The sequence below is a fragment of the Homo sapiens genome, chromosome 11 (assembly GCF_000001405.40).
Source record: "Homo sapiens chromosome 11, GRCh38.p14 Primary Assembly".
Taxonomy (NCBI): Eukaryota; Metazoa; Chordata; class Mammalia; order Primates; family Hominidae; genus Homo; species Homo sapiens.
Window position 1 is genome coordinate 45,171,273 of NC_000011.10, and position 12,323 is coordinate 45,183,595.

The window sequence follows — 12,323 nt, forward strand, 5'->3', positions numbered from 1 at the left end:
TATTTTTAGTAGAAACAGGGTTTTGCCATGTTAGCCAGGCTGGTCTTGAACTCCTGACCTCAGGTGATTCACCCACCTCGGCCTCCCAAAGTGCTGGGATTACAGGCCTCAGCCACCGTGCCCAGCCGGTTATGTGGATTTTTTAAAGTTCCCCAGTGCCAAATTGCTCTCCCTGATGCTACTAGTTTACACTCCCACCAGCAATGCTTTGGAGAGAATGCCCAGGATGTCACTTCAGTGCAGATCTTGGGCTTAAGGGAGAGGGGTGGCTGGTGATGAGATGCTGTGGCCCCACCCTGTTTGCCCCTTTGTAGGCTGAGGCACCATCAAGGCAGATGCTTTACAGAGGCACAGGCAGAGTGCTGGGCCCATCTGGAATGGGACTGGGGATAGAGGGAATCTGCCCCTTTGATAGGGCAGTGTCCCAGTGAGGATGGCTCATGGCTGCAGGTGACAGAAACCCTGTTGCAGACAGGCCCAGGCAATAAAGCAGTGTAAGAGGAAGTGCAGAGGTAGCGTGGATTTCAGGACCTGTTGGTTCAGCACCTCAACCGTGTCAGTTACAGTTTCTGTCTCTGAGATGGTTCCCAACACCAGCCCCTTCTTGGATTCTCCAACCCAACTGGGTGTCCAACAATTCAATTCAATTCAATTCTGTAACTATCTAGAGCTGGTGCAGACCCCACAAGATAAGAGCTCAGTTACACAAGACTGCCCTCAATTCAGACACTGGTCATAAGTCCCAGGGGACTTGTACCTCTGACCAACATAAATCCAGGGCTCCTACAAACCCCTTTCTCAGGTGTGATAATTCACTTGAATAACTCACAAAGCTCAGGAAAGTGATTTACTTACTATTACTGGTTTACATAAAGGCTACAACTCAGGAACGGCCAGATGGAAGAGCTGTGCAGGGCAAGGTGTAGAGGAAGGGACCTGGAGCTTCCATGTTCTCGCTGGACCCTCCACCCTTCCAGCACCTTGCTGTGTTCACTAATCCAGAAGTTTTCTAAATCTCCTTCAAGAGTCTTCACAGAGCTTCATCTCCAGCCCCTCTTCTTGTTGCCAGAGGCCAGTGGTTGGGATTGAAAGTTCCAACCTTCCAATCACGTGTTCTTTCTGGTGACTCAGCCTCATCCTGAAGCTATCTGGGGGGTCCCACCCTCAGTCATCTCATTAGCATAAACTCAGGTATGATCCGGTGGGGCTCCTTATGAAGCACCAAAGACACTCCTATAACCCAGGAAATTCCAAGGTTTTAGGAGCTCTGTTTTATTAGCCAGGAACCAGGGACAAAGACCAAATACAGTCAACCCCTCCTATCCATGGGCATCCATGGATTCAACCAGCCATGGCTCAACAGACTTTCTCCTTGTGATTATTCCCTAAACGATACAGTATAGCAGTGATTTACATAGCATTAACATTGTATAAGGCATTATAAGTAATCTAGAGATGATTTAAAGTATATGGGAGGATATCCAAAGGTTATGTGCATATACTATGCTATTTTATATCCAGGACTTGAGCATCCTTGGACTTTGGTATCAGAGAGGGTCCTGGAACCAATTCCCCTCAGATACCAGGGTGCAAATGAATGTGTGTTTCTTGTCCTACCACCCTGTCCCCCTGCTCTGAGGAACTCGCTTCATGCTGAAGATGCTTCCTGCTGGGGTCCTCTGCAGGACATGGCTCCCATTTGCAACAATGGCTGTGTGCTTTCTCCTTCTAGTCATGAAATAAAAGCCCTTCCCTTCCCTTTGATTTGGTCAAAATAAGTCAAATGTCTGATCTTGGAGGGAAATGTCATGTGCTGATTAAAGGCCAGGTTCCTGATCCAGTCATTGGGGAGGGAGGTGGCATTGCTAGAATTGGCTTAGATGAACCTGAGCCCAGCCCTGGTGCTGGGCAAAGGCTCGGTGTCTCTGAATCTCACTTAGTTGGTCCTATAAGGGAGGTGTGGCACCTGAACAAAGTCCAACTTCCAGTGGGGAGTAATGAGGTAACGGATACCATAGAAGCCACCAGCAGGATCCACTGTGAGAAGCAAACACATAAAAAAGTTCTGGCTGGGCGCGGTAGCTCACGCCTGTAATCCCAGCACTTTAGGAGGCTGAGGCAGGTGAATCACCTGAGGTCAGGAGTTCAAGACCAACCTGGTCAACATGATGAAACCCTGTCTCTACTAAAAATCCAAAAATTAGCTGGGCGTGGTGGCGCACGGCTGTAATCCCAGCTACTCGGGAGGCTGAGGCAGGAGAATCGCTTGAACCCGGGAGGCGGAGGTTGCAGTGAGCCGAGATCACGCCACTGCATTCCAGCCTGGACAACAAGAGAGAAACACCGCGTCAAAAAAAAAAAAAAAAAAAAGTTCTGCGGGAGGGACCGCCTTGGGAGAATGTGTTCCACCAGCCCTGGCCAGCTATACCCATGATGCTTAGTGGCGACTGCCCTGTGGGTAAAAGCTCAAAACCTCATTTTCCATGACCCCAGCAGGAGCCTCCACTGGCTGGACCCCAGTTCCTGCGGCTGCAAAATCAGGGACTGGACAGGGTTAGAGGTCCCCATATGGGAGTTCCTTGCCCTCAGGAGGCTCCAGCAGATGGTTTTTCTTTATGTTTATTAACATATATATATTCAGAAAAGTGCACATATTGTAAAAGCTGGCTGAGTATATTTCCACAAACTTATTATACCCATGGGATGAGCACCCAGATGAAGAAATAGAACATGGCCAGAATCTTAGAACTCCTTTTCCTGCCTTTTTCCAGTTATTCCCAAGAATAACCACAAACTTCACCTCTAACACCATAGTTGTGGCTGGTTGGTTTTTTTTGGTAACTCTATTTAAATGGAATCATACAGTATGAGTCTGTACTCTTTGGGGGTCTCCTTTCTTTTCTTGGCATTATCACTCATCCAGATTATAGCATGTAGTTGTAGTTTGTCTATTCTCATTTCTGCATAGTATTCTATCCACTGAATTTGGTGAATATTGTACAGTATCCTATGATCAGGTAGGACAAGTGAACAAACATGTCAAATTTCTTTGCTTTTGCTTAGGATGACGGCCGCTAACCAGTGTATTAACTCTGCTTATCATGCACCCTGTGTGTATACAAAGAACTAGGAAGATGAATTAATTATTACCTAATGCATGCAGTCTTTTTAGTAGACATGATCTTCCAAAATGGGAATCCTAAACAAAAATAAAAACAGGTATGCTTCGGGTAGAGATATGGGGGTCCTTACCGATTGATTGATTCATTGAGTCATTGATTCATTCGTTCATCAAATATGCATCAAGCGCCACTTGTGTGCCTGATACTCAGTCTCTAATCTGGATTCCTCCTTTCTCCTAACCAATTGGCAGGATCTCAGCATCTAATGACAAGTGGGTAAAGGTCATTGGAATTATCTTCTTTAGCAATTTCTAAACTAAATGATTATGAAGAGGTCCTCTAAAGAATATTTAAGTGACTATTTTTCAGAAGCAAAAAGAAGAAAACAGAAATACACAACCCTCCTCCTGAACTAACCACTAGTGATACCTTAAAATATATCCTCCCAGACCCATGTGTACAGATCTGCATCATTATGTATAGACTTTAAGTGGAATTATTTTGTACACCTGTGTAGTGTGGGAAATTAAAAGTGTTTTAATGGAATTATTTTGTATCTATCTTTTCATAGCTTTCATTAACAAAATCCTTGTTTTTTAGAGCAGTTTTAGGTTCACAGCAAAACTGAGCAGAAACTAGAGTTCCCCATACACCCTGCCCCCACACACATCCAGCTTCCCGGTTATTAACATCCCACACCAAAGTGGAACATTTGTTACAATTGATCAACCTCCATTGAAACATCGTTATCAACCAAAGTCCATAGTTTACATTAGGGTTCACTCATGGTGTTGTACCTTCTGTGGGTTTTGACCAATGTACAATGACATGTGCCTTCCATTGTAGTATCATACAGAGTAATTTTACTGCCTAAAAATCCTCTATATTCCACCTATTTGTTCCTCTCTCCCCGCAACCCCTGCCAACCTCTGATCTTTTTACAGCCTTCGTGATTTTGCCTTTTCCAGAATGTCATATAGTTGGAATCATACAGTATGTACCCTTTTCAGGTTGGCATCTTTCACATAATAACTTGCATTATCATTTAGCAATATGTTGAACGTGTGTTTTCATGTCAATAAATATTCCTCTACAGCATTGTTAATTGCTGTCTGTTATTTCATTGTATGCTAATATTTCATTGTGATATAGCATAGCAATTTCCCCCATTTTGGAGGTTTAAATTCTTTCCTATTTTTTGCTTTTAAAAATAATATTGCAGAGGACAGCTTTGTAGGTAAATCTTTGCACGCAATTTAAATACATCCTTAGGATCCATTCCTGGATGTGGGCTTGCTCCTACAAAGGGTTTACTTACTTTGAGGATTTTGATACATGTGCCAAATTACCCTCCAGAAAGGTTACACCAATTTACACTCCAACCAGTGGGATATGAAGTACTAATTTCCCCTACACTCTTGCCAACTCTGAATAACATCAAGATTTTTCATCTTTGCCAATTTATTAGAGGAGAAATGATATTTATTTGTTTTAATTTGTATTTATTTGAGTATTAATGTCTTCATGGTTTTCCTTAAAGCATATTAGCCATCTATTGGTCTTTGCAGATTGCTTGTTCATGTTTTCTTTTTATCCATTTTTTTTTCTATTGAGGTAAGCATCTTCAGAGCATATATTTATAAAAAGTATTTATTAGGGGTATTCACTGCTTGTAAAGGCCCTCTTCTAATGTCAAACAATTTTTGGCCGGGTGTGGTAGCTCATGCCTGTAATCCCAGCACGGATCCCAGGGCAGATCACCTGAGGTCAGGAGTTCGAGACCAGTGTGGCCAACATGGTGAAACCCTGTCTCTACTAAAAAAATACAAAAAATTAGGCAGGTGTGGTGGCAGGTACCTGTAATCCCAGTTATTGGGGAGGCTGAGACAGGAGAATCGCTTGAACCCAGGAGGCAGAAGTTGCAATGAGCCGAGATCGTGCCATTGTACTCCAGCCTGATCGACAGAGCGAGACTCAATCTAAAAAAACAGAAATTTCACCACCATGTGCACATCTGATGTCTGTTATACTTTTAAATATTAATAAAATGAATGATAATATTTATAGGGTACTTACGATAGGTCAGGCATTATGCTGTGTTAAACAGCCCTATGAGATAGGTTCTGATATCAGTGCCACAGGACGGATGGGGAAACCAGGTAGGCGTGGTTAATGCAGTTTCTCAAGGTTACACAGTTTGTGAGTGGCTGTGCTGGTGTTAATTGATTAACAAAATACATGGTGACATAAGGTTTCTATGAATTCAATAACACTTTTAAATACATTTATCTTTTGTGTTCATCACAAAAGTATTCATTTGCAAATCTGTCTTATACATGTAAGTTTAAGGCATATATTTATGTTCTCTATAGGCATGCTTGCTGAGAATATAAATTCAATAACTCCCTATAATAATTCCAAGCCCTTGCCCACCTCTCACATGGTATACTGTTAAGGACTATGAGTTGGACCTTTTATTTTACAGGAAAGAGAAACTGAGGGCAAGGCAGAAACTTTATCAGGGTCACCTAAAAAACTGACAGCACAGCCAGAACTGAGACCCAGGGCTTGGGATTCCCAGCCCAAGTCAAGGTCAGCATGTGGCTTGGGCCAGCACCCTAACCTCATGTCCTTTTGGTATCAATGGGAACAACAGAGATGCTGTGGTAGGTACCAGAGTAAACCTTCTAGATTCTCATGGTGCCAGCCTCTAGGGAAACCAAGTGGGCACAGATCCCCAGTTCCCTGGCTACACTGGCTCCTGGGCATTCCAGGATCCTGGCACCCTGCCAAGGGTGAAAACAGAGCTGCAGACTCCTGGGCTGCATTCTGCCCCCTTCTTTTGGGTTTGCAGCTCACTGCTGGGTTTGCAACAAGCCTAATCTCTGCATGTGCAGACTTAGAGGAGCCAGCTGAGAGGGAGCATTGCCAGCAGCTTGGAATCCTCCATGAAGCCTGCCGACCCCCCTTCCCCCAAGACTTTTGCTGGGCAGGTAGGACTAGAGCATTCTTCAGAAAAGGCAACAGGGGCTTTACCTGGGCCAGGCCTTAGAGTGTCTGCTGAGATGGACTCAGTGAAGGACACCAGCACATGTTCTCCCTCTCTCTCTCCCCAGTGGAAGTTCATTTGGTCCTGCCACATCCCATCTTCTCCCTCCCTGTCCCTATGGCCTTTATCACAAGCACAAAAGTCTGTCTATTTCAAAGTAGAGATGTCTATGGGCCACTTGAGAGTTGGAATGCACATTAGTCCTTTGAGGCTTGATCCTGGTTCTCCGGGCAGCCAGCTCCAAGAGTAGAAAGAAATTATATGTGCATATAGTCAATAAATAGGTGTCAGATAATAAGGACTCGGTAACTCATTATGTTTCCCTTTATGCTTTGGCTGCCAGGAGGCTCAGAATTGAATGAAGAACTCAATCACTAACCCTTTTACAACAGATTCCCGGCATAACCAACACCCCTCTTTCTCCATGAGGCCTCTAACACTATCTCTGGTTGTTTCTTAACTGTCCTGTTTAGTATGTGTTTGTTTTATAAAACATTGCAAATCTTTTGTGTGGTGAAGGTGGGATGTGAGAGATAGGACATAAATGCAAATGGCCCACAGATGTCTCTACTTTGAGATACAAAGTAATACTTTGCCCACAGGGGGTGGTTTGCTGGGAATGATTTAAGACAGGAAAACGTTTATATGCCTCGGTCCTTCTCTTTCAATCTCCCTTCCCCTCCTCATCTTCTCTTTTCTCCCTTCTCTCCTCCTTCTCTCCCTGTCTTACCCTCCGTCCTTTATTCTCTTACTATTGCCTATCCTCCCTCCAAACCCCTTCCGCATCCCTCTGTGCCCTCCTCGTTTATTCCTAATGGGGACCACCTCCTCCTGGCAAGTATCAGTATTTCCATTTTGCAAAAGAAGACACTAAGGCCCTAGAAAGTGTAAGTGACGTGCCATGGCCACACTGATTATCCTCCCCAACTTATCGTCAGAATCCGGCTCTGAGTCTCATGAGTCTAATTCCATCCTACCCCCTAGTGCTCCATCCTACCCCCCAGTGCACCTCTGCACCCTTCAGTGCCCACCCTGCCAGCATCTCTCACTACCTGCTCTGCCTGGCGGAGATCACTGGAAGAGAGCTCCATAGGGAATCAAACCCCCACCCTGTTTTTCCTGCTGACGTCTCTTTCAGAGTTGAGATTCCCAATGGGACCAGTGGGACACATCAGAGGGACCAGTGAGATATGAAGGGGAACATTTGGTGAATATTTACTGAGAATATGCTGTGTGCTGGGCAAAGTGGAGAGTCAGCCAAGCAAGGTTCTCAGGGTGCAAAATTGAAAGAGGTTCTCACTCTCAGGTGCCAGTCCTGCAAGCGTATGACCCTCAGAGTGAAAGCCTCCTAGTACCTGGCTTGTCTTTCCCTAGTCTTGGCCCTGGTGCCAGGCACTGTTACAGGTGCTGGCAGTTCAATGGTGGCCTGCACCCTGTCCTCGGGGAGCTTACAGTCTATTAAGGGAAACAGATATTAATCAAGTAATCCTGCTAACAAAAGACGGTTATACATGTCACACTGCCATGAAGTGTGACATGGGGCTAGGAGAGGGTGTTTTTGGTGGCAGTTGGAGGGGGGCAGTGAGGTCTGAAGTCTGGATAGGAGTTCCCCAGGTGTTCTGCAGGCTAGGACTCAGCAAGTTCACAGGCCCCATGGCAGGATGGAGAATGGCATACAGGTGGGGCTTGTGGAGGGCAGAGGGGCCAGAGCAAGGGAGCCCCATGCAAAGCAGTCCTCAGCAGTCCGTTCCAATAAAGCGTCAGAGTTTCCAAATGACTGACTTAAAAAAAATAAATCCCAGCCAATGGAGAGAATTTGAAGCCACCCCTTGATGATGTCACTAGCACTCATCTTCCTGATCAGCATTCTTTAGTGGGATGTGCAGAGACTGGCCCCTCCACACTCGTCTGTGTCCACGGAATACAGCTATGTCTGTGATAGAATCTATTATTAGCCACATTTTCTAGATGAAGAAATGAGAACACAGAGAAGTTAGATAACCTGCTGTATTAGTCATCTCAGGCTGCCATGACAAAATACCGTAGATGGGGGTGCTTAAACAACAGCCATTTATTTCTCACGGTTTTAGAGCCTAGGAAGTCCAAGATCAGAATGCCAGCCTATTGGTTCCTGGTGGTGGCACTCCGCCTTGTGGATGGCTGCCTTCTGGATGTGTCCTCATGGTGGAGAGGGCCCTGGTGTGTCTTCCTCTCCTTATAAGGGCACCTAACCCTTATGACCTCAATTAATCTTGATCACCTCCTCACAGCCCCATCTGCAAATACAGATACTCTGGGGCTGAGGGCTTCAACATATGAAGGGGAGTGGGGTCCATAACACCTGCCCAGGATCACACCGCCCATCAGTGGGATTTGAACTCAGGCACTGCCTGTCCAGTGCCCAGGCACCTAACCACTGAGGCTCCACCCCAGGATGTATGGTGGGGGGTACTGCCCATCCCAGTGAGAGTTCCTCAGGGCAGCAGGTGTTCAGGGATCCTTCACAAATCCACAGGGCCTTGCTCCCACCTGGCAGCTGGACTTCTGAGCTGGGACCTGAACCCACTTAAGGGTGATCCCAGCGATTGTTCGGTAGAGGACTGGACTGAGGATACTGCATGGTGAAGCCAACTTGAAACACTTGAATCTGGGGGTTCAGCCAGTTTCCAATTTACTAAGCAGCCATCGGGTGTGGTCTGCATGACCTTCGGCAAGTCGCTTGACATCTTCCAGGCCCCAATTCCTGCGCCCTCACAGGAGGCAGGGGGCCATCCCACAGGCTTTGAGGTCGGTCGAGCACCCAGCGGGGAGTCCCTGGCATAACGCAGCCAGGAGGCAGTAGAGTGGCAGGCGCCCCAGGCGGTGCAGGTGCGGCCGCGGCTGAGCGAGCGGGTGTCCGGTGTCCGCACGGGTGGCAGCGCAGGCCCTGTCGTCGCCGCCACACCAAGGCAGCTCGGAGGCTGGGGACACCCGCCCGGCCTCCGCGGCGCTGTCGCCCAGCCCTGGCACCCCCCGGGCCGAGTGCGCATCGGGCCCCGTGGGAGGCCCTGGAATGCGTCCACCGCCTGACCCGGAGCGACCCCCCGCGGCGCCCTCTCCCACCGCCCCGCCCGGGCGCCCGCTTCCTCCCGCTCCCTGCGCGCCCCCCTCCCGGCCGCCAGCCAACTGCGTGCCCCCAGGGCCGGCAAGAAGCCACATGCCCCCGCAAGGAATGCCGGGCCTGGCGGGCGGGGGGCGGGCGCTGGGCAGGGCCGGGCGGGCCGGGCCGGGCAGGGAGCTCCCCGCCGGGAAGGCTGGCGAGAGGGGGAGAGCCCGCCCGCGCCCGCCCCGGCCGCAGCCTACACCGGCCCGAGACGGGGCGGCCACGGGGCAGGGGGCGGCGCGCCCGGCCTGGGCAGCCCTCCCCTTCCCCACCGCGCGCCCCCGGCCCTGCTGGCTCGGAGGAGGGGGCAGGCCGTCACGTTTCCCCGCACCCCTCCCAGTCGCCGCCGCCGGCTTTGGGGCCCCGGTGGGGAGCAGGGGGCTGATTAGCCGAGGAGCAGGGGTGTGGCCAGCGGGGCCCCGGGTAGTGAGTCACACACGCCGCTCGCCCAGTCCCAGGGCCCAGCGCCGTCCCAGCCCCAGGCTGCGTGCCACCCTCGCCCCGAAGAGTGTCCCCGGGCTTGGCATGAGGACCCCGGGGTGCCGAGGGAGGGGCTGAAGCCCGGCGCGGTGGTGGAGGGCGGTAAGCGGCGGGCTGGGGAGTGTCCCCTTGAGAGAGTCGGGTGGGGCTGGAGCCCTGGCTGGCCCTCGCCAGCGCCCCCAGGCCCTGCCTGTACCTGCTCTGAGCTGGCAAAGGGGCCTGGCTGCGCTCCCGGCAGTCCCAGGGTGAGGGGCTGCCCTGCCAGGCGCTGAGGGCCCGTTCGGTCTGCCCACTACCCCTTGGCCCAAGTTGGGCTTGAGTTGTGAACCCTCCCTTCTCCCCTTTGCAGTTTTGCGCCCAGGCTCATGTGGGATCCTCCTGCCCTTTGCCCTTTGGTCTAGGGGTCCAGGCTATGCTTCCCAGCGCGGCCTCCTGGCCTGAGCTGCTCTAGGCTCCTGACCCCATGGGGCTGGTGGCTCCAGTCGTCCCCAGGACCAGCCCGGGATAGAAACGGCATTTCCTCTTGGCCGGGCTACAGCTGTTTTTGTTGTCTGTGTTCTCAAGTGCTTCCTCTGGGGATGGCAGGGAGGGTAACCAGACTCCGCGAGACCCCCACTTGCCCTCTCCGCCGCTCACTCCTCTTCCCCTGTTTCTTTGATCCTCTTCCTGTGCTGGTCCCACCTCCTGCGTCCCAGGACAGAATGACCGAGAACATGAAGGAGTGCTTGGCCCAGACCAATGCAGCCGTGGGGGATATGGTGACGGTGGTGAAGACGGAGGTCTGCTCACCACTCCGAGACCAGGAGTATGGCCAGCCCTGGTGAGGCCCCTGTGTGGGAACTGGAGAGGGAGAAGTGGGAGTGGGAGGTGCCTGGGCTCGGTTGGTTGGGAACCCTGGGAAACGTTCTCACTCCTTGCCCACCTTCCCTAACCCTGCTCCCGGCAGCTCCTGGGCGCAGGCTCTAGAAAAATCCAAGCAGTGGCCTAGGGAGGTCTGTGCTCGCATCTCAATCCTCCAGTTTTTCCACCACCTCCTGCACTGAACAGCAGGCTGGCTGGGACTCCTCTGCCCACCCCACATCTTCTCGGTCTCCTGGCCAGGTCCCCAGCTTTTGTCCCCACTGGGCTCTCACTCTCTGATGACTTCTTTGCTTTCTTTGCGGGCCTCTGCCCTGGCCAGCTCTAGGAGACCGGACTCCTCGGCCATGGAAGTTGAGCCCAAGAAACTGAAGGGGAAGCGCGACCTCATCGTGCCCAAAAGCTTCCAGCAAGTGGACTTCTGGTGTAAGTGGAGCTTGGGGCTCTGGGCTGCTCCTCCCTTCACCCCCATCGCCCCATTCCTGGCTAGGGAATTCACAACAATGCTACTAAGATAGGTCCTCACCTGCAATATACCAGGCCCAGGTCCAGGCCTTGGTTCGTCATCATCATTAGCCATCCAAATGGCTATTGTTAGCCCCATTTTCCAGATAGCACACTGAGTCTTGGTGAGGGTTAAGTATCCCACGCCTCGAGTCCTCTGGCCCAAAGGGGTACAGTTGCACTTGGACTCCAAAGCCATGCTCTTTCTTCCAGTTTTTTAAAACTTGAGACAAAGGTAGCTGCTGGCCTCCTTGACGTAGGCAGGCCTGTTCTTGGAGCCCCCAGGGAGAGTATGGGTTATTGCTACCGATGACCCTGGGGCCTGCAGCTGGCTGTCCATGAGTGGGCCTCCTGTCAGCCCCTCTACCTCCCCCATGGGGGTCTTACCTCCCTGCAACAACTGAGGCCCTCCCTTCTCTTTCCATCCCTCCAGTCTGTGAGTCCTGCCAGGAGTACTTCGTGGATGAATGCCCAAACCATGGCCCCCCGGTGTTTGTGTCTGACACACCGGTGCCCGTGGGCATCCCAGACCGGGCGGCGCTCACCATCCCACAGGGCATGGAGGTGGTCAAGGACACTAGTGGAGAGAGTGACGTGCGATGTGTAAACGAGGTCATCCCCAAGGGCCACATCTTCGGCCCCTATGAGGGGCAGATCTCCACCCAGGACAAATCAGCTGGCTTCTTCTCCTGGCTGGTGAGTGTGCCCTGGGCTATTCATGGGAGAGGTTGCCAAGAAACATGGAAGGAAACCACCAGGGGGAGCCATACTGGCCCAGCTTGGCCCCAGAACTTTTCTACCATCGCTTCTGGACCTGTCGATGATGGATCTTGCTGTCCCCTGGCCCCGGCTGAGTGGCTGCAACGCTTGGTGTCCAAGGGCAATGCTGAGAGCACCCACCTGGCAGTAGTCAGCAGATCAGGAAATCACCAAGCAGAACTCAGGGCAATTTCCCCATGAATCCTCATGTGTGTGTCTGGTGGACCATTGGGCAGTATTGAACCAACCGATCTTCTAGAGTGGGTGACTCGGAGCTGGCCTTTGGGGATGCAGAGCATGACTTCCCACTTCCAAACCAGTAATATCAGGCTCTGGGCTAGGTGCTGGGGGTAAACCCTTCAACAAGACAGACATGGTTCCTGCCCTCAGGGAGCAGACGATCTGGTAG

General features: G+C 50.9%; 1 protein-coding gene across 13 annotated transcripts in view, besides 1 other annotated feature; it reads left to right on the forward strand.

Annotated features, from left to right (window-relative positions):
• Nucleotides 1-12,323, forward strand: part of PRDM11 (PR/SET domain 11) — a 140,951-nt gene that overhangs the window by 77,114 nt on the left and 51,514 nt on the right. For 6 of the 13 annotated variants that reach the window (NM_001359633.2, NM_001384648.1, NM_001384649.1 and 3 more), the window contains 3 exons: nucleotides 10,489-10,613; nucleotides 10,974-11,077; nucleotides 11,589-11,851. In NM_001359633.2, coding sequence (NP_001346562.2) covers nucleotides 10,495-10,613; nucleotides 10,974-11,077; nucleotides 11,589-11,851 — 486 coding nt within the window. In that variant the 5' untranslated portion in view covers nucleotides 10,489-10,494. Of the gene's footprint in view, nucleotides 1-9,763; nucleotides 9,896-10,488; nucleotides 10,614-10,973; nucleotides 11,078-11,588; nucleotides 11,852-12,323 lie in introns of those variants that run through there. The other 7 variants (XM_011520222.3, XM_011520228.4, XM_047427314.1 and 4 more) reach the window with 3 other exon arrangements.
• Nucleotides 10,250-10,981: an enhancer, noted in NCBI's record as "H3K27ac-H3K4me1 hESC enhancer chr11:45203073-45203804 (GRCh37/hg19 assembly coordinates)". NCBI's record gives its function as "activates a minimal SCP1, AML or CMV promoter by ChIP-STARR-seq in primed H9 embryonic stem cells {active_cell/tissue: H9 hESC(primed)}" and the evidence as "EXISTENCE:reporter gene assay evidence [ECO:0000049][PMID:30033119]".